Genomic DNA, 22587 nt, shown 5'->3' with positions numbered 1-22587 from the left:
ATAAAGGGAGAAAGTTCTAGAAAGAAAGAAGAGCTGGTAGAAAGACCTGGAGGAAAAGGAGCTAGCCTCTTAGAAGAACTGAAATAAAATTTACAACAGCAAACACTTTCTTAGCACTTCTTGTATGTCAGACTTGTTCTAAGATCTTTTCATATGTTTTCTCATCTAATCCTCACAACCACCCCATGAATAGGTTCGGTTATTATTCCAAAGAGCAGATGAAAACATTGAGGCACAGAAAGGTTGAGTCACTTGCTTAAGATCAGGCCTACAGAACAGAAAGAACTGAGTTCCACAGTGAGGCCTTCTGTTTTCAGAAAGGCCTTCACTCCTCCTTAGGACTGGTGAGAAGAGTAAGTAAATGGTAAGGAGAAATACCAGATCACAGACAACCTGAAAGCCCTGTTAAGCAAATTCAAGCTTTTTCTTACAATAAGAGCAAGAACCAGAGGAAGGTTTAAAGCACAGGATTGACTAGATTTGATTTTTGTTTTAAAAAAGATATGAAATAATTGCAGGGAAGAAAATAGAACAACAGAAAACAAGACAAGTGAGTTTTGCTTTGATACAAGATTTGTCCTTCAACCGCTTTACCTGAGCACCTAAGAACAGTTTAGTCACTCCAGAAAATACGAAAAGAAAAACTCCAAACAATATAAACACCTTTAAGAAAATCTCTTCTCAACTGGATAATCATGAACCTATTCCCTTCAGTTATCTTGTCATCTTGTCCCAATAATGTTCAGAAAGGTTCCTGGCCACTTAAAAGAGCAAAGATGGGAAAATGAAGTATGAAGGTGCATGGAGAGGGCAAGACATCTGCAGGAGGGTGGCAGGGAACTCCTTGGGCTAAGGAGTCTCAGTGGTCAGGCAGCTGATCAGCCGATGATGAGGGACAAAGTAGATGGTGAGAGGTGGAAAGGAGAGAAAGGAGATCAAAAAATGAAATTGTAGTGTAAATATGATAAACCATTTTTACAAATGTGATAAGCCAATCAAAACCAATCTCTTACTGAAAATTTAAAAATTACCATGTCACTATTGTCTAAGCTGACCCAGAAAGTGTTTTGAAGGCCACACATGTAGCATTGGGCCACTTGGAATAATAATTTGCCAAGGAAAAGTTTAGCTTCTTAGATTCAGAATATAAAGATTGAGCACAGGAAATCAAATAGTGGGTTGAGGCCAAATTTTGCGTGAGCATGAAAGTACAAACTATTAAAAGCTGAAAAGATATATATATTTTTAAATGCATAAAGGATTATCCAATTCAATAAATTCTCCATATGTAATGATATCGAATGCTCTATTATGAAGAAAACCAAAATAACCAGTTCTAGTCTTAGAATCCCTTTATGTCTCAGATTCTTGAATCCACAACAAAGGCTTTCCTTAGCAGAGACTATCACAGTAAATATTCCTCTAGGCTGCTTCCAGCTTTGTTTTCCTTTTAAGAGCTGCTAGTTAAATAACACTGATAAAAGCAAAAAAAAAAAATCTTAAGATGCTAACTTGATTGATAGCAATGCTTCTTAAGTGATGACATCTGTTTGACATCTCAGATTTCCCAAAAAGCATACTTGTGAGGACATTTGGTAGCCTTTTCTATACAGGAAAGACAAGATTCTGAAGGTTGTCACTAACTGCCCCATGGAGACATGTCAGAGCTTGGATTGAGCTTCTCTTAACGGTCCTACTCATATAAGCACAGAATTTTAGAGTTCATTTCGTTTAATGCCCTCATGTTCCTGGGGTGTCTATTACCAGTTGTATTTACCAAAGTGCATGTGTAGATCTTTGTAATTTTTCAACAACTTATTGACAGAAAGAATCACAAAGGTGCTGAGCTCAGACTCACACCTCTGAGGAACTTTACTTTGGATTTTAGCCTATGTTTTAAACCTCATGAAACTTTATGCATAGGCAAAGAACACAGGCCCCAAGTAAAGCAGTCTAGTCATCAAGCATATGTCTCATTTAAAACATGTTCTTTGAGCCAAAGCAAGAGTTTCTTATTTGTTAAGTGTGTTTTTCCAAGGCAGTATGAGACTTGACTTTAAAATTTACTCAAATAAGCATGTGTGTGTGCGTGTGTACTTTATTTTTAATTCCAAATTCCATTTTTGTTTCAAATGTATATTTTTGCATAATTTTCAATTGTTCTGCATGAATTAAAATTTGCTAGTTTTCTTTCTGTTTTTGCTATTATTCTAATCATTTTCGGACTAGCACTGTCGTGTAAAAGAGATTTTATTTTATTTTTCCCTCTACCCTGGATCTGAACTTCCAAAGTTTTTAATTTAGAGTTTGAGCCAGTAATTGATTATTCAATAGGGAAGATGTGTCACCAAAATATTAATTATAGATCACATAGACTTGTGTGAATCTCTCAGGATATGGTATCAAAGGAAGCTAAGTGGGGAAAATTCTTGTTTCTGGTAAAGTCATCAAAACCTTTGATCAACACCAGTTTGTTTCTTTTTTTTTTTTTCCTGTCTACAAAGTTTGACTTGAATAAGATTTCTTTCCTTGACATAATACTTTCAAGAATTGTTTTATTTTTAAAACAGAATCTTAACCCAAAAGAAGAATGAGCCAAGAACATGAACAGACAATTCAAAGAAAAGGAAATGACCTTTAAACATATGAAACAATGTCCAACTTCAGGCAATAAGAGAAATGCACTTATTAAGACTACAAGAAAATGCCTTATTTTTTCATCTATCAGTCTTGCAAAGATTTGAAAGTTGACTATTATATCATTTTGACAAAAAGGTAAGAAAATATACACTATAATACATAATTGGTGATGTTATAAATTGATTTAAATTTTGGAGGTCAATTCGACAATATTTTCAAAGTTAAAATACACAAATGCCCTGCACTGAAATTTTACTTCTAGAAATTTTTCTTGAAGAAATCCTATAACAAATGCATAAAAATGTAGGTATACTGTTATTTTTTGCAGCAGCCATGCATTGGACTACTCCACAGCTTTTAATAAGAATAAGAAAAAGCTATAGAAAGTGATATGAAAGTAACTGCAAATCATATTAATTGACTAAGGGAATATACAGTATAGTTTGCAGAGTACATTACTTTGTGAATTACAAAAATAATACGTGTAGACATGAAGTATAAGAAACTGGCAAAATAATTTGCCTCTGGAGAGAATTGGTAAGCAGGACTAGGAGACCAAAGTGAAATGGAAATTCACTTTTTACTGTGTATCTTTTTATACTGTTGAGATTTTTTTCAAACCATCTGCACTATTACTTATCTTCTTAAAAATAACATTTTAAAATGAAAGAGTAAGAAATTGTGTTTTAGCTACCTGAAAATGAGTAAAAAATGCCAATATGAATGAACTTTAAAACTTTAAACCTGATAAAAATAGAAAACAAAAATGCATTTACAATGCATTAATGTTATTGATCTTAAGTTACAACTTCATGATACTACAATTAACTGAAAATGATACAGACAACTTACTACTTTGTCCACATAGCAAAAACACATTTATTACACTCCTGCATTCTCCAAACCAATCAATACATATCCAGCCCATTAATATCCTTGGACAGCCACTCATACTTGGATGGTTCTATTTGATCTGTTTCCAACTTTCCCATGCTGTCCTAATCATCTTTCATTTAGACCAGAGGTGGGCCAGCTTATTCTGTAAAGAGTCAGGTAGTAACTATTTTAGGCTTTGAGGGCCATGAGGCAAAATCAAACTTATTATCTATGTGTTTATATTTAAAAAAAATACAAATATCCACATTCTTTAATTGACAAAATTTAAAATGCAATAATAATTGAGAAAAAAATGTCTACTAACAAGAAGAATTATTTTGTCAGAAGGAATATTTTGCTTAATTAGTGTTTAAAGTTCGATTTTCCTATCATTAAGTCCATTGAAAATTTGTAAAAGCTTTTATCTTCTGGGTCCACAAAAAAGACGCAATAAAGTCAAATGTGGCCCATGGGCTGTAATTTTCCACCCCTGATTTCAAGACCAGTATCCTCCCCACCTTCTTGCCTCTGTTATCTTGACAACCAAATCCATTCTGCCTCAAAGATATTGCTAAGCTCTAATGTTACCAGTCACTCCCCTGCTTAAGGTTTCCTGCAAAAAATTTTTATTGCTTAGACTAGAGAATAAAAGCTAGGCTCCTTAACCCGCAGGCCAGTTCCTCCTAGTGTGGTGCTGGCCTATCCTCAGCCTCCTTTCCCTCCTCTCCAACCCTCAGCCCCGCCCACCCCAGACGCACAGGCACTTTTTGCTCTAACAACTCTGAACAACTTCTTGACACACCACAAGCTGTTTTACCCCCTTATAGCTGCTGCTGCCCTTTCCTGGAGCCCTTCCCTTCCTTTTCCACTCGACGGCTCCCAGCCAGCCAGCAAACTGCTCAGCACTCATCCCTTCTGAGAAGCCTGGCTGCTTCTCCACACACCCTATCCACATGGAATCACCATTTCACCACTTCTCTCAGCACTTCTATTCTTGAATGGATAACATTTGATTATATTTACTACCATTGGAAGTCTGTTGCCTTTCTTGTATCTAGTTCCTCTTTCCCTGGCCCCTAGAATATGCCTGGAACACAGTAGGAACTCACTTATTGTTAAGCTAAACTTTTTCAATTAAATGGCAGCTTTGATGTTAAATACAAATGAGCCCATCACCCACTCACTAGATACCTATGGTATTAACAATGTCCCAAACTTGTACAGTTGGCACTCCGTATCTGTGGGTTCCACATTCGTGGATTCAACCAACTGAAGATCAAAAATATTTTAAAAAAAATAGATGGTTGTGTCTATACTGAATGTACACATATTTTTCCCTTGTCATTATTCCCTAAATACTGTGTAACAACAATTTACATAGCATTTACCTTGTATTAGGTATTGTAAACTATCTAGAGGTTATTTAAAGTACATGGGATGATGTACATAGATTATATGCAAATGTTATACCATTCTATATAACAGCCTTGAGTATCCATGGATTTTGGTATCCTCAGAGGGTTCTGGAACCAATCCCCCATGGATACTCACAGATGACTGCATTTGGGGGTCAAATAATTAAGCAAACATTTCAGTACTACCATATTTCAATCATATTCAAACAATCAAGAGTTTTCTCTTTTGTCTGAGATGCTTAGACTTTTGGAAGCACAATTATAGCTAAAGGCTAAAACTTGCTCACAAACATTGCCCAAAGGCCAGCTCTTCTTGATGAGAATTTGCTCATACAGATGTACATACAATATTTGCAGGAAAAGTTGGCTTAAGTATCCCAACACTGGTATACAATCCACTACAAACCCAGGGCAGGAATAGGGGATGGCGGTGGGGGGAAGAAGCAAAAAAATGAATATTTTTCAAGTACTGAAGTATTCACACACACACACACACACACACACACACACACACACACACCAGTACTCATTTGTGCAGGTAACATTTCTGTTATTGCTATTGCTCTCTCCATGGGTTCCAGGAAGAATTTTCCACCAAAATATTTCAATTTGTGCCTCCACAAACTAAACAACTCTGTGTTGTGTAGGGTTGTTGTTGTGTTTTTTTTTTTTTTAGACAGAGTCTTGCTCCTGTCACCCAGGCTGGAGGGCAGTGGTGCGACCTCGGCTCACTGCAACCTCCGCCTCCCGGGTTCAAGGGATTCTTCTGCCTCAGCCTCCTGAGTAGCTGGGATTACAGGTGCCTGCCACCACACCTGGCTAATTTTTGTACTTTTAGTAGAGACGAGGTTTCACCATATTGGCCAGGCTGGTCTTGAACTCCTGACCTCAGGTGATCCACCCGCCTCAGCCTCCCAAAGTGCTGGGATTACAGGCGTGGGCCACCTCAAGCAGCCTGTGTTGTGTAGTTTTTAGGACTGGAGCATGCCAGGGTATTTCCCTTCATTTATGGGTTTCTATGTGCCAACCTAAAATAAAAGAGCACACCATTAAAGTTTCTATGTGAGTGTATTTTTGATGATGACTGTTAGGTAATTCTATGGCTTTTGCCAAAACCAGGCCTTATGCCAGGGATGTTCTTCTTCCTCATCTTTATTTACTTATCCTCCAGCTCTCTGGGCTTCCTCAGAAAAGCTGGCTCTGATCTCATCCCAGAGCAACCAAGCCCCTTTTTAGTGCTGTTCTAGCTCTCTATATTTGTCCTTCGTAGCACTAACCAAAGTTCATGATTAGACATTTGGGTGATTATTTAATCAATGTGTGTTATTCATAAGACCCGTGAAGTAGAATCTGTGTCCATTTCCTCACTGTGTCCACAACACCTACACAGTGCCTAAAGATGCATGCTCTGAAATACTGTCGAACACTTGTAGAGTGAGGTCAATGGTTCATTTGGTACTACTTCACTATTCTGAAGTAGTTTATATCTGAGACAATCGTGTGTTTGGAGGATAGAATTAACATCATAAAGGAACTGTGGAAACTGCCAGCTTCAATCTATTTATTTACTGAAAAAAAAAAACCCCGGAAACTCAGAGAAGTTACACAACTTGCCTGGAGTCTCATAGGAACTACTGGCAGAGTGTGGAAGGCCCATCTCCACCATTCAGTTAGTGGCAGCTCGCCATACCATTTACCTTTCTGTGAGGTCTCAAACCTTGCTTGCGATTTCAAACTCCCACCACGACTTTGGCTAGCATATCATAGCTTTGGCTCAATATGACACCTAATAACATCCATTTAGTTTACATGCTCACCCATCATCTTAGTGCCCATTTCTCAGTGACCTAATTTCAGTTCTGGTGAGGGAGAGAAAACCTGACCAGCATAAATTGGGCCCATTGTTCAATGCTGGTCTAGGTAACTGGGACCTAAGGAAGGAGTGCATTACAAGATACCTTAGGGATTGGGAATAGAAAGAAGGCGTCTCTAAGACGCTGGTGTCAGGGAAGATGTAGATACACAAGATACACATAGGCAATTGTAGCAAGGCCAAAGCGCATAAGAACATGCATAGAAAACACATACACAATACACACACACACACACACATAAACACCATAATATCTTTGTTTTGAATTCACTAGAATGGACTTCCTTATATGGAAAGCATTTTTGGTTTGTCATTTTGCCTTTTGTTTTGTTTATCCTTTGTCAAGCATGCAAATAAACATTTAAAAATACATTATGTCTGACGCATCTAATTATAAACAAACTTTATAGGAAGCATCTCACACAGGGTCTCCTAGGCATCTAGTAAATGGGCATTCAGTGATATGCCTGCTCCCATGAAAACATTGTTTTGTCTATTGCTTTATGTTACTGTTTTTAAAAATTTACAATAGTGACAGTAGCAATCTAATTGTCACCCATGGCTCAGCAAAGCCCATTGAACCATTCATATGACCACATTTGGCTTTTTGGTTTTTGTCTTTTCAAAAATTACATATATTTAAGGTATATGTGATTTTTTAATACATTTGTACATAGTGAAATGGTAACAACAGTCAAGAAAATTAACACACCCATCATCTCAAATAGCTACCCTCTTTTGTGTGTGTGTGTGGTAAGAGCACCTAAAATCTACTCTCAGTAAATTTCTAATATACAATACAATACAATATTATTAACTGTATTCCTCATGTTGTACATTGGATCTCTAGACTTATTCATTCCACTACGTAACTGCAACTTTGTACCCTTTAATCTATTTCTTTCCATTTCCTCCTCCTTCTCCTTCTCCTTCCCCTAGTAACCACCTTTCTATTCTCTGTTTCTATGTACTTCACCTTTTTTTTTTTTTTCAGATTCCAGATATCAGTGAGATCACTCAGTATATTTTCTTCTGTTTCTGGGGCTAATTTCACTTAGCATAATGTCCTCCATGTTCATTCATGTTGTCACGAATGACAGGATTTCCTTCTTTCTTAAGGCCAAATAAGATTCCATTATATTTATGTATATAATATATAGATCATTTTTATTCTATAATAGAATATAATAATATATTAGAGTATTGATGCTATTATAAATATATAATATTATATAACACTATATTATTCCATTATGTTATGTATGTGAAATATATGATATATTTTAATTTTAAGAATGTTTGGTCTATACCACATTTTCTTTATCCAGTCAGCCATCAATGGACACTTAGGTTGCTTTCATGTCTTGGCTATTGTGAATAATATTGCAGTGAGCAGGGTGGTAGTGAAGATATCTCTGTGGGGGGCTGATTTCATTTCCCTTGGGTATATACCCAGAAGAGGGGGATTACTGGGTCATTCGGTAGTTCTATTTCTAATTTTTTGAGTAACCTCCATACTGTTTTCCATAATGTCCGTACTAATTTACAGTCCTACCAACAGTGTGCAAGGATTCCTATTTATCCACACCCTTGCCAACAATTGTTATCCATTGTCTTTTTTATAATAACCATTCTAACAGGTGTGAGGCGTTATCTCATTGTGGTTTTGATTTGCATTTCTCTGATGATTACTGATGTTGAGTACATTTTCATATACCTAGTGGTCATTTTTATGTCTTTTTAAGAGAAATGTCTGTTTAGGTCCTTGTCGTTCTGCTTGTTTATTTTTGCTTAAAAAATCTTTATTGGTACATAATAATTGTACATCTTTTGGGGGTATATGCAATACTTTGATAAATGAGTACAATGTGTAATGATCAAATCAGGGTATTTAGGATATCACCTGGAATGTTCATCATTTCTTTGTGTTGGGAATATTTTAAAATCTTCTCTTTTAGCTATTTTGAAATATTCAATATATTGTTGTTAACTATAGTCACCCTACTATGCTACTAAAACTCAAATTTGGTAGACATGTTACACAGTTCTATAGTTTATCATACATTCTAAGAGTTGATAAAAAAAAAAAAAAAAAGGGCCGGGCGCGGTGGCTCAAGCCTGTAATCCCCAGCACTTTGGGAGGCCGAGGCAGGCGGATCACGAGGTCAGGAGATAGAGACCACGGTGAAACCCCGTCTCTACTAAAAGTACAAAAAATTAGCTGGGCGTGGTGGCGGGTGCCTGTAGTCCCAGCTACTCAGGAAGCTGAGGCAGGAGAATGGCGTGAACCCGGGAGGCGGAGCTTGCAGTGAGCCAAGATTGCGCCACTGCACTCCAGCCTGGGCGACAGAGCAAGACTCCGTCTAAAAAAAAAAAAAAAAAAAAAGCAGTTTTTATTCAGTTACATAATGGAATCTTTATTCACAGCTCTCTTAAAAAAAAAATCTCTGCTGCTATTACATTCACAGACAGTATCTCCCATAGCTCAGCCATTAAGACTTAAACTTTGAATCTGGGCACATTTCTTGGAATTTGGAGTTCCAGGACAAGGCTTCCAAAGAGTGTTATTAATGATGAGTCAGTTTTAAATGTGTGGTACAGACCACATAGAAACTACTTGAATTTAACTACTGGAAAGAGCTGAAACCCAGAGCAGACCAGAGGCAAAATGTAGCTGAGGCAGCTTAAGTTACACCTGTGGTCAAACAGTCTCTTCTGATCTGCCGTATTCATTCCCTCAGCCCATTCCTCAATCTTTTTTTCTGAGATGAAATCCTAACCAGAATTTATATTTGTTTCTCATATTATCATTTTTCATGAAAGTTTGTGCAGTCTTTCCCTTTTCTCTCAAAATCCCCTACAATAAAATCAAATTTATTAAAAAAAGGTTTTCTTAGTCACAGCTCTTAATTTTGAGTTGCCTTTTCTGTCAGGAATCTCCCTAATGCTAGTTCTTTCTGAGATTTAATGGCCAAAACACTCAACATTTCAAAATCTTTTTCTCTATCAGTACTGTATTATCTACTTTTGCTATTTTTTTCTTTGTCTTCCTCCTTCCTAAATGGTCCCTAATACTTTTCTTTTTCAAATATTTGTCAGAAATATGCCTTTGTCTTCAGAAAAAATCTTTTTTCTGATGACTTTTCATTTTTACATAGGTACAACCATTGGTGAAATATCCCAAAAACCCGAAGTCTTAAACAACATGGTAATCAAAAGAAAAAAAAAAAGACATAATTTGCCATGCATAAATGGTGGTAGCAGCCTCTACCTATCTCACAGAAAGCCATCATGAGGTTAATTAGAAGCCAGGCATGGTGGCTTATGCCTGTAATCCCAGCACTTTGGGAGGTGAAGGCAGGATGATCGCTTGCGCTCAGGAGTTTGGACCAGCCTGGGCAACATGGTGAAACCTCGTCTCTACAAAAAATACAAAAATTAGCCAGGTATGGTTGTCTGTGCCTGTGTTCCCAGCTACTCAGAAGGCTGAGGTGGGAGAATCAAGGCTGCAGTGAGCTATCATCATGTCCCTACACTCTAGCCTGGATGTCAGCGCGAGCACCTGTCTTAAAAGGAAAAAATTAAAAAATAATTAATTAGAACCATTTTTTACATGCTAATTGTTATACTTAGGTTTAATTAATAAAATGTTGACAGAGTGTTTAAACGTCTGTCAAATTGACTAATGGAACCAAAGCAGTTATGTGCTACTGATTATAAACAAGATTTCAGATTTGTTCAAGTATATATCTGAGAAATGTATTTACATAAAATACATTTCTTTGTAATTCTTTTCACTTAAATATATGATAAATATTGCAATACCCAAACATTATATTAAGTTTAGATGTGACTATTTCATGATAATTGTTCTTTCAAAGCACTGCATTACACAGTATGTAGACTAGTCAACAGTAATGATAATAGTGTCACTGAGAGCACTTAAAATGTGCACAACATTGTTTCTAAGTACTTTAAATTTATAGGTCTCTCATAATATTATAAGTCTCCCTAGATATATCAATAATTCAAGGTTTTGAGCACTCTTTACCCAAACCAATTCTCAGGGTTGTATTTGCAGTAGGTAACCCTGGGGAATGAGGTGATATCTCCCATTGAGACAAAGAGCAGACCTGCATACTGCCTGCTGTAAAAGAGGTGGATTCCCCAACTCAGGGTCCCTTGACTGCAACACTAATTTACCAAGTGCATAATAGCTATCTGGATCCTCTGAATCATCCCCCTAGAACTTGGAGGACAAGGGAACTGATGCAAACCTGATGCACATGCTGCCTGCTGTGCCTTCAACAACAAAGTCCTTTGTCTCTGTCAGGAGCTTTCCATGAAACAATAAGGGTCTAATTTGCCAACATCCATGAAATAGTAAAGGTCTTATTTAGCTTATAAGTAAGGTGAAATCAAATCCCAGCCCCTTACATGTGTGTGTGCGTTTGTATGTGGAGTGTGTGTGTGTGTGTGTGTGTGTGTGTGTGTGTATTAATCTCAAAACAATAAACACTTCTCTAACCCCCTTTTAATAGGTAAGGAAACTGAGGCAAGAAAAAAAGTTCTGTCATTGACCCAAAGTCATACAACTGGTAAAATTTTGAGCCAAGATTTGAACCTAGTAGTCTCCAGAGTTCATGCTTTTAACCACTATACTTTGTTACTACTTCAGGAGACATATAATTTCATTAAAAAATATTTTTAAAGACTCAATTCCTTCTTTTGATGGTACAAACTGCATTTAAAATTTGCTAAATTTTTGTCTTTATTAAAACATCATTCCCAGTGTAATAAAACATAATAGCACATTTATGCAAGCTAAAAAAAGAGAAAGATGTGTTTTTATTTGCCAAAATATTTCCAGGATTTTTGCATCTTTCATAAAACAGTCTAAACAAAAAAGAATAATGCACAGCAAAATTCTTCCTCTTTCCAGGACTTCATAGCCAATCTTATATATTTTTCCAGGCCAGGCTTAAGTGCCATTTCTCCAGCAAGCCTTCCCTAAAGAGCTAAATATTATCTCTCCAACCTATTTAGCATTTTTTCTCTAGAAGGAACTTTGCACTTTAGCCCTTGCATTCTTCTTATCCAGGTGTAGTTCAACTCCCACTTCTAGATCGTTAACTCCCTAAAGGTAATTTCTATTTATGATTCCCTTTTTCTCCTTCACAACTTTCAGCATGGTGCCTTGCAACTAGTAATAAGTACTAGTTAAAGATAGTTAAGGAACTATCTTTAGTATCTGGTAAATATATATATAATATATATATTTATATATTTTTATATAAATATATTATATATTTATATTTATATATTTTTTATATATGTAAAATAATTATAATCATCAAATACAACAAAATTTTAATGCTTTTTACAAAGAATATTTGTAGCATACTAAGATGTTTATATTTTTGAATCTCTACTCTGGTTGCCTAATAGCAGAATTAATGTTTTCCCACTTTTTTTCCTATTGCATAAATAAATTATAGAAAAAAATACAGAAATATTGCATATTTCTTGATGCATTATGCCAACATGTATCTTTTCTTTTAGCCGAATGTTCTGACATTTTGGGAATGAGAAATGTGCATTTGCATCATGTTTTCCCATCCAACAGTACATGATGGCCATCACAAGGCAGATTCATTTCACATCTCTTCCACCATTAGAATCTACACGTAGCCTCCCTTTCTCCAGTTCACTCCTCTCTCTAATCCATTCTGCTACCAGATCAACTTTCCTAATGTCTTTTCCCTACACCATCACTGTACTCAAAAACCTTCAGTGACTTGCCATTGATCATAATATAAATTAGAGCTCCCTAGCCAAGCACCCAAATCTAAATTTACCACAATATTCTTAGTGATCCCTATTGCTTACTTCTTCTTTATATGAAAACGTTACTTCAGTCAAATTTATCTGCTTTCTATCTCACACATATATGTTGCATTACCCTCCTTCTGTTTCTGTCCATGGGATGAAATAGTTTCTTTTCTACACATCTAAATCTTACCCATTCTTTAAGATCAAAATCTGAGCCATCTCTGCATGATGCTTTTCCTAACACCTTGGTCATGAATACTGCCTCCACTCTCACATTTTTTTCCTGTGCAACCATGGTAAATTTATCTTACTCCATGTCATCTTTTTTACTTGAGGTATTATTGTGATATATATCAAAATGTTTGCACTCCACTAAATGTTATCTTTAACAGATTTTCATCAGGGACCATTCCAATAATGCTTGCATTGTTTGAAATATTTCAAGGGCTCTTCCTCTGGTAATCAAAACACCAGCTGCACTATAAAGTCATCCATTTTATTTTATAATCTTTTCTTGTTTTCATTTTTTTTTAAATTACTCAACTTGGCTGGGCACGGTGGCTCATGCCTTTAATCCCAGCACTTTGGAAGGCTAAGGCAGAAGATTGCTTGAGCTCAGGAGTTTAAGAACAGCCTGGGCAATATAGCAAGAACCTGTCTCTACAAAAAATTTTTTAAAATTAGCCAAATGTGGTGGCACGCGTCTGTAGTCACAGCTACTTGGGAGGCTGAGATAGGAGGATCACTTGAGCCCAGAAGATAGAGGCTGCAGTGAGCCATGACTGCACCACTGCACTCCAGCCTGGGCCATAGAGTGAGACTCTAAAGAAAACAAAACCTAAAAAATAAAAAAATACCCAACTTGATCATTCACTCTTTTTCCCAAAACCAGTTTCCAATAATTTTTTATTTTATTCTTAAAAAAAAAGTAAACTCTTTCTTTCAAAGGGCAAAAGTTGGTCACCACTGAAGACATTCTAAAAAACACATCATAAGTTTTCAAAGCAATATATTCCTAGCTGTGACTGAAAAAGAAAACCTTTCCTTTGGATTAATTAGTAAAAGAATGACTAGGATAAAGTCTATAGCCATTTACTTCAGTAAGAAATTTAAATCACCCTGCAGAGTCATTTAGGGTTCATTTGCATCACTTTTGGCAATGGCTTAGGCAGTGGTTTTCCCATCAAAAACCCTTTTTTCTAGTTGGCATGACATAAAAAGTGAAAAATTTTGTAATATTTCAAAGACTATGAAATAAGAGAGCACACTCTGCTTCCTCAAGTCGCAGACAAGTGTAGTTGCAAATCCTTCTTCTGTGGCCAAAGAACAGTGAAGAGGTTTACTATGGAAGGATTTACCATGGATTTCCTCAGAGTTTCTCTCACTTCCAAAGGCAACATGGTCTCTGGTCTCCCTGGCCACACAAGGATTCCGTGGTCAGCTGGGTGAAATACACTAATGTTGCAAGATTGTGCATGTAAGATCATTGTCAAGTACATCTTCAGATGGAAAATTAGTGATGGCACATCTGCATTAAATAAAACCTAACTTCATTGCCGCTCTCAGAATGGCTGAGGGAAGATAATATTCTTCTCCCAACAGTTTCCATTTGGTTCTATTTGTAGAAACCATGTCTCTTCCAACTTTTAAATGATCTCTAACTCTACAGAAGGACAACAAGCTAACAAGCTAACAAGGCTTCTAGAAAGAACTCAGAAAGAGCTCACTGCATTTTCCATAAAATTTTACTGAAGAAAATTTAGCAAAAATTTTTACTTATCAATTTCCAAAGAAAATGTGTTAATTTATATGTCATTTATTTTATATAACTATAGAAATAGTTTTAATGAAAAGTTTTGTTATGATTTCTAAATTATATCTTCCTAAGATTATTGCTATAATACTTCTTCTTTATATTGCTATAAAGAAATACTAAAATTTAGAAACCATAGTTTAAAAATTCTTAAGGAAACTCCTACTTTTGTACTTGTTTTATTTTGACTATGCATTCATAGCAAGCCCTGGCACTCCCTATTCTCTTACTCTACTTTGTTGCTTCTGCATTTTACTTACTTGATATTCTATTGTATATTCTCTTGTTCTATTTGCTTGTGGTCAGTCTGTCTGTGTCCCTCACTAGGATGTAAGCCCCATTAGGGCAGAGATTTTGTCTTCCTCACCATGACATTCCTTGCTGGAACAGGGCATATAGGACCTCAGTTAATATTTACCAAATGCAAAGATGATCTACTTAATTTTTAAGTCCTAGTTGTCATAAATTGTATACACCGTATCAGAAACTGGGCTGTAACCACCTAATAGGAGCTCATAACTGCATGCCCCTGAAATTATACAAAAATATTAGTGTGTATATGCATTTCCCAATTTTTCTAAGATTCTCTGTATGCACATAAACCCCCAGAGAAGTTTTGCTATAGGGAAAAAAATAAGTATCAGCTATGTCAGAAAACATTTGGAATTCAGTTATGGCAGACAATCAGCTAGAGGGGCTGCTGGACATAGGAGAGTGTACTATTGTGTTCTCTTCTGAATATTCCCCAGTTACATTTTTCTGGGGATTCAGGACCAGAACAAGAAAGGCCATCATGATGAGACCCAGCAGAAGAAGTGAATTCAAAATTTCTAAAACTAGTTTTATGTGCTCAGATAAGGTCCTTTTCATGCATCTGTCTCTGACACATGAATCTAACTGAAACACTGAAAATAATTGATACACTATTATTTGAAGCCCCAAATCCTAATCTTTAGGTATCTCAAAAATTAGCTTATATTGACTATTTATTTATTTCATACCTCACTTAATTCATTTAGTGTCCTCTGGAACTTTTGACTTTACTTCTTCAAATGTTTTATTAGTCCATTTTCACGCTGCTGATAAAGATATACCTGAGACTGGGCAATTTACAAAAGAAAGAGGTTTAATTGGACTTACAGTTCCATGTGGCTGGGGAAGCCCCACAATCATGGCAGAAGGCAAGGAGTAGCAAGTCATGTCTTACATGGATGGCAGCAGGCAAAGAGAGAGCTTGTGCAGGCAAACTCCTGTTTCTTAAAACCATCAGATCTCATGAGTCTCATTCATTATCATGAGAACAGTGCAGGAAAGACCTGCCCCCATAATTCAATCACCTCCCACTGGGTTACTCCCATGACATGTGGGAATTATGGGAGTTACAATTCAAAATGAGATTTGGGTGGGGACACAGCCAAACCATATCAATATTGAAATGTGTTTTGGCCAATATGCTGCTGTAGGAATTTTGGCAAGTGTTAACAAGAAAAATAATTCATAGTGTCATTTTGAAAACAAATTTGTAATCCTATACAAGCAATAAAAACTGAAAAAAAAATCTGATTCAATGCCCAGAAAACAAATTATTCATTCAAGTACTGCAAGTAGTAAAAGTTAGCTACTCTTTTTAAAAATAAATCAAAACATCACCTTAGTTCTATCCAGAACAAAAATTACACATTCTCAACAGACTAATATGTCTGAGCCAAACTTACATATTAATTCACAATACAAGATGACATTAATCCAAGAAAACCACCAAACAGTATGGTTTTCAGAGGTGAATTCTCTGTGTTAGGAGAAAATTCTGACGTGATACTCTGATTCAGATCCTAAATGTGGGTCTGGAGCTCCCTGAATGCAGGAACCATGCTTCACTCATCTTCTAAGAACTATGGTGTCTAAGATATAGAGAGGCTGCATGGATGTTGAATTAATTAATGAATTGCCATAAGTTGTGAGGTTTTTTTTTGTTCCAACACACTGTCAGAACAAATTCCCTCAAAAATTTTTCTTACCAAAACAAATGCTATAAAACAGGATATCAAGTTTTATTTACTTTATTAATTCCTACTTTAAATTACAAAATGCCTCAGTATACACTGAACCCATGCTCAAGTCAGAACAGGGCCTCATTTATTCATGTTATTGCATTTCCTTTGCTAATAGTTTTACTGGGTTTTCTTTTTTTGTGTTTTCCCCCCCTCTCCATTTTCTTATAATGCCATTCCATTGTATATTTGAGCTAGTAACAAGAATTTCTTAGGTTGACTTTAAAGAACAAGGACACCTTTTATTTCACCAGTTGATTAATAAGCACTTTACTGGTCAGAAAACATTTGGAATCAAGGACCCAGGTATTTGCATCTCTTCACAATGAAACAGCTTAGCAAGGCATCCGGAGCAGTTACAAAAGTCATATGCAGAAATGACAATTTCAAGGGGAGATAAAGAATACTCTGAAGAAACTTCCCAAATCAATGACAGCAGGCTTATCACCATATTTCATTGGCCCTAATTAAGTACTATTTCTGATCTAATTACATGCTTCATATTCTCTGGTTATAATACTATACTGTTTTTCTTTTCTTATTGCCAGTTTTTATTCCTCAGATAAGCATTGATATTTCTTGGTGCTAATTAATAAAATTATAGCACTTAACTTTGAAACTGTAGGTTCTTCTAATGTTGGTGATGAAATACTAGCAAGGTAAAAAGGAAAGAAAGAAATATTCTTTTTCATTGAAACTATAGAAAAAAAGCTAATTTTTTGGCATCATAATGTATATGTTGTCCATGAAAAAGTTAATATGGGCCAGGTGCCTTCGCTCATGCCTATAATCCCAGCATTTTGGAAGGCTGAGGTGGGCGGATCGCTTGAGCCCAGGAGTTTGAGACCAGCCTGGGCAATGTGGTGATACCTCATTTCTACAAAAATACAAACATTAGCCTGGCGTGGTGGCAACTCGGGAGTCTGAGGTGGGAGGATTGCTTGAGCTCGGGAGGTGGAGATTGCAGTGAGCTGTGATCACAACACTGCACTCCAGCCTTGGCAACAGAGTGAGACCCTGTCTCAAAAAAAAAAAAAAATGGTTAATGTGAGCAAAGCAACTTCATAATATTTCAGAAATGGTTTATCCCATAAATATAACGTTTAATCTCTAAAATGCTTGTAATTCTGAATTGCCTTATTTAATAATTTGTTGTCCAGGTAATGGTATTTAAATTGGCATCATTATTTTCTAAAATGTGTAAAGGTTTTTAAGTTCACCAAGGCACAAGAGGTTAATTGACACTTTCTTCTTCCACATGCATGGAAGTAAAAACAAATAAAATATATTATATCTTATTAGAAAAAAATAAGTGAAGCTATTTCCAGTTAAACAAAAACTGAGGGAATTCATCAACAGTAGTTACAAAATAAAGCAAATACTAAAGGTAGTCTTACAGGCAGAAGAGAATAATCCCAGAAAGAATAAGAAAATACAGAAAGGAATGGAACCCAATAAAAAGGTAAATAAAAATATCAGCAAATATAAATGATAACTGACCACATGAAAACACAGTGACATGTACATAGTTTAAAATACATATATAAGTACAAATGCATGCAACAATAGCAAAATATGAGACAGAGTAAAAGAAATTGTAAGGTTTTAGCTTTGGTTGAGAAGTAGTAAAAACATCAGTTTATATTAAACAGCTTTGTCCCATTAAAATATAATGCAAGACACATATGTCATTTTAAATTTTCCAGTAGTGACATTAGAAAGAGTAAAATGAAATAAACACAGTCAATTTTGATATATATTATTTAACCCAAATTATGATCATTTCAACATATAATCAATATAAAAATTATTAATGAGATATTTTGCATACTTTTTTGTACTAAATCTTTCAAATTATATTAACAGCAAATCTCAACCCAAACCAGCCATATTACAAGTGCTCTACAGCCACATGTGGCTAGCGGCTATCATATTGGACAAAGCAGTATTAAACTCTAATAAGCCAAGGAAGTAGCTTGCAATCTTTACAGTAATCATTAAAAGGACTAAATGTAAAAGGACATATAATCAGAAAATTTGTAAATACAAAAGAATGTAATTTTAAATAAAGTTGCTGGATATAATGAACACAGACAGTGCCCTGCCCTATTGCCCGTTACTTGGTCAGCACACCTGCACCCCATCTGCTTTGTTAGCTGCTAATGACTCACAGCTTCCCCTATCTGGAGAAATCCCCTTAGCCAAAGAGGAACCAGCTTCCCTAGGAGGTTATGCTCCCAACCCCAACAATGAATAACTGACACATGGCTGTCAACCTTGTCAAAATGTTGGACTGACTTCATGGTACAATTTATGCTCTGGAGATCCCCAGGGGGTAAAGCTAAAACCAGCCTCCACCTGGGACCACATCTTAGCTCAACTCTTTTCCCTGCCTTATTCTGCTTCCTTCGCTTTCTTCTTAAAGCACTCCTTTGATAAATCATGTGCATCCACATCACTGTATCAGGCTGTTTCTAGGGAACCTGATCTAAGCCCCTGGGTTTATAAAAGAGAAAGCAAGAGGGAGAGAGAAAAAGCAACATAAAATAAGTAAGACAAATAAAACACAAGCATTATTAATATGGTGAGCATAAACCTAAATAAATCAGCAAGTATATTAAAATGCAAATGGTCTAAATGGCCTCATTAAAAGATAAAGATTGTCAGAATTGACAAAAAACATTAAGAAAACCTATGTGTTGCTTATAAAAAGGGTACGGAAAGATGTACTATGCAAATGCCAAGAGAAGTCTGGTTTTGATATACTGATGTCAGATAAGATCTACTATAAGGCAAGAAACATTCCTAAAGATGAGAAGAATTCTTTCATAATAATAAAAGGATCAATCCACCAGGAAGATATAAAAATTCTAAATTTGTGTGGACCTAATAATATAGTTTCACAATATGTAAAAACAAAAATTGATCAATTTAAAAACTGGAATACACAAATCCACAACTAAAGTGAGAGAATATGACACTCTTTGATAACTGATAAAACAAGCATCCAGAAAATTAGTAAGGCTATTTATAATCTAAGTAACACAATTAATAAAACAAAAACACTTGCTAAAATATACCATCGAATGACAGAATATACAATTTTGACAAGTGTACATTTACAAAAATAGTCCATATGTTGGGCCAAAAAGTCAGACTTGACAAATCTACAAGGACTCCAATGATTCAAATATATTATTTGATTATAGTGAAATAAAGGTAGAAATAAATAACTAAAAGATTAAAATAAAATTTTCAAATGTCTGGAAATTAAGCAGACTTATTATTTATTTATTATTATACTTTAAGTTCTAGGATACATGTGCACAACGTGCAGGTTTGTTACATATGTATACGTGTGCCATGTTAGTGTGCTGCACCTATTAACTCGTCATTTACATTAGGTATATCTCCTAATGCTATCCCTCCCCTCTCGCCCCACTCCACGACAGGCCCTGGTGTGTGATGTTCCCCACCCTGTGCCCAAGTGTTCTCATTGCTCAATTCCCACCTATGAGTGAGAACATGCGGTGTTTGGTTTTCTATCCTTGTGATAGTTAAGCAAACATTTTTAAATAACTGGGTGAAAGTTAATAAAAATGTGTACTAAAATACCTTGAACTGAATTATAATGAAATGTAATATTTGAAATGTATAATTTGGCTATTACTATGCTTAGTGGAAAATCTATAACTTAAATTCACATATTAGGAAAGAGGAAAGCCTGAAATGCAATTGTATGGGTATTCATCTCTAGAAGTAAAGAAAAGATAACAAATTAAACCCAAGAAAGAGTAAGAAGAAAAAATAAATATAAGAATAAGAAAGAACAAATAATAAAGAGAATAAATAATAAAGAAAAGAACAAAAAAATTAGTTAACTAGAAAACATACATGCAATAAAAAATCAATATCAAAAAGTTATTAGCTGAGGAAGCCAACAACATATATCAGGAATGAAGCAGAGAGCATTACCACAGATCTCAGTAGATGCAAGAAAAACTGATAACATGCAAGACCACGGGTAAGAAAATAAACCTCTAGGCAAGCTAGGAATAAAAGATATTTTCTGGAATAAAGAATATTTACCAAAAAATGACATTTAGTAAAATAAGGGAATTTTATTAAACTGATAAAGAATATTTAGAAAAAATTAGTAAAAATCATACATAAATGTGAAGTGCTGAAAAATTCCCCTGATTTTGAGAATGAATGAGAAAATGTTGCTCACTATCACCATTTGTATTTAACATTGCACTGCAAGTCCTATTCTGTTTAAGATATATGACAATAGATGCAGTTTGATAGAGATGGATAGATAGATAGATAGATAGACAGACAATAGATAGATGGATGATAGGTAGCTAGTATCAATAGTTGAATGGGTGAAAAAATAACAATATGTTCATACAATGGCATACTATCTGCGGTGAAAATGAACAAACCGTAGCTAAATACAATAGCATAAATCAATCTCACAAATGATAATGAGCTAAAGAAGCCAGCCACAAAATGGTATATATTATATTATTCCATTTACATAAAAGTCAAAATCTGGTGCGAAATAAATTAGTGATAGAAATCAGGATAGTGTTAAACTTGGTGAAAATAATCACTGGAAGGGAAAAAAGTGGGACTTCTGGGTTGCTGGATTCTTGCTCTATTTCTTGATCTGAGTATTAGTTAAATGGGTTTTCACTTAGAATTTGTGCTTCCCGCCCCCCCCCCCGGATATTTTTAATAAAATATTTATTTAAAAATAAAAATATATAATACCTCATAGTTGCATTTGGGTATTTGGGGAAGCCAATGAAAATATCTGTTATGGAAAACCGGTTCAATTCTTTAAAGACAATCTATTATTTGTTCTATTTACAGTTTAGAAATATATTTCAGGGACAGCATTTTGTGTTGTTCAAAGTAAATAATGGTATATTTTTGTTTTGTTTGTTTTTTGAGACAGAGCCTCACTCTGTCACCCAGGCTGGAGTGCAGTGGTGTGATGTAGGCACACTGCAACCTCTGCCTCCCGGGTTCAAGCGATTCTCATGCCTCAGCCTCCAAAGTAGCTGGGATTACAGGTGTGCACCACCATGCTAATTTTTGTATTTTTAGTGGAGACAGACTTTCACCATATTGGCCTGCCTGGTCTCAAACTCCTGGCCTCAAGCGATCCGCCCACCTCGGCCTCCCAAAGTACTAGGAATACAGGCTTGAGCCACCATGCCCAGCCAATAATGGCTATATTCTACAAATGCAGTCACCGTTGAATAACTAAAATATGGAGAATTGAAAGAAGCTATAAACTTATTCATAAATGGCTTTAGATATCACCTTCTAAATCTGCTTCATTATTTGTCACATCAGGGATCTGGTCTTCAACAAGTACAGGAAAGAATCTCTTCTAGCAGTGGGAAGAAAAAGTGCAAACTTTGGACCCATTACATGGTGGAAGCTTCAGAAATCTTTGTGCTATGAATAAGGTGAGCTGTCATTCCACTAATAAGAACTCCAAGACTCTTTCAGTAATCTCATTTTTGTTTGAGGTACCAAACAACACAAAGGAATAACAGTCCTCTAGATACGGTTTGGTAGTGACAGTGAGCACAAAAAGAAATACAGAGTTTAAAAAAAAACTATAATTTGTCTCTTCATTTCCATTTTGATCAAGATCACTGCAGGTTATAAGAAGTCTCTAGAGGCTTGTGGTATGAATAGAAAGTGTGAGAACTGCTGATTTCTGTTAAAGCTGTTGGGGTCTAAGTTGAATGGGGTTGCTGAACTACCACATTACGTCACTTCTGGTTGTATCAAATTTATATTTACTAAGCACCACAAAAATTTCGTGGCAGACTACTTTCACCCACAGTCTAACACAGCAACATGAAAACTGAGAAAAAGATCCATGAACATGTGTAAGAAAATATAAACTGCTTGCTTTTTTACAAATCATTTCTGTCCCCAAACAAGAAAGATTATACAACAAAATAGCTTTTTCTGCTATGATAAAAGCTTTTCCCTCCCCCGCTCTTTTCTTCTCTCCTCTCTCTCTATTTAAAAAAAAAAAAATCTGATTTTATAAAAAAC

At 35.6% G+C, this 22587-nt stretch overlaps 1 protein-coding gene and 1 long non-coding RNA gene across 2 annotated transcripts in view; one reads left to right on the top strand and one right to left on the bottom strand.

Annotated features, from left to right (window-relative positions):
• IGSF10 (immunoglobulin superfamily member 10) overlaps positions 1-22587 on the top strand; it is a 187494-nt gene that overhangs the window by 16404 nt on the left and 148503 nt on the right. The window contains exons 2-3 of the mRNA XM_011512709.3: positions 2571-2775; positions 21868-21983. The gene's annotated coding sequence lies outside the window, so the exon portion shown is untranslated. The remainder of the gene's footprint in view (positions 1-2570; positions 2776-21867; positions 21984-22587) is intronic.
• LINC02066 (long intergenic non-protein coding RNA 2066) overlaps positions 1-22587 on the bottom strand; it is a 105814-nt gene that overhangs the window by 54449 nt on the left and 28778 nt on the right. The gene's annotated exons all lie outside the window — the stretch shown is intronic.

This window comes from Homo sapiens, chromosome 3 (genome assembly GCF_000001405.40).
Source record: "Homo sapiens chromosome 3, GRCh38.p14 Primary Assembly".
NCBI lineage: Eukaryota > Metazoa > Chordata > Mammalia > Primates > Hominidae > Homo > Homo sapiens.
This window is presented reverse-complemented; position numbering and strand designations above follow the sequence as displayed.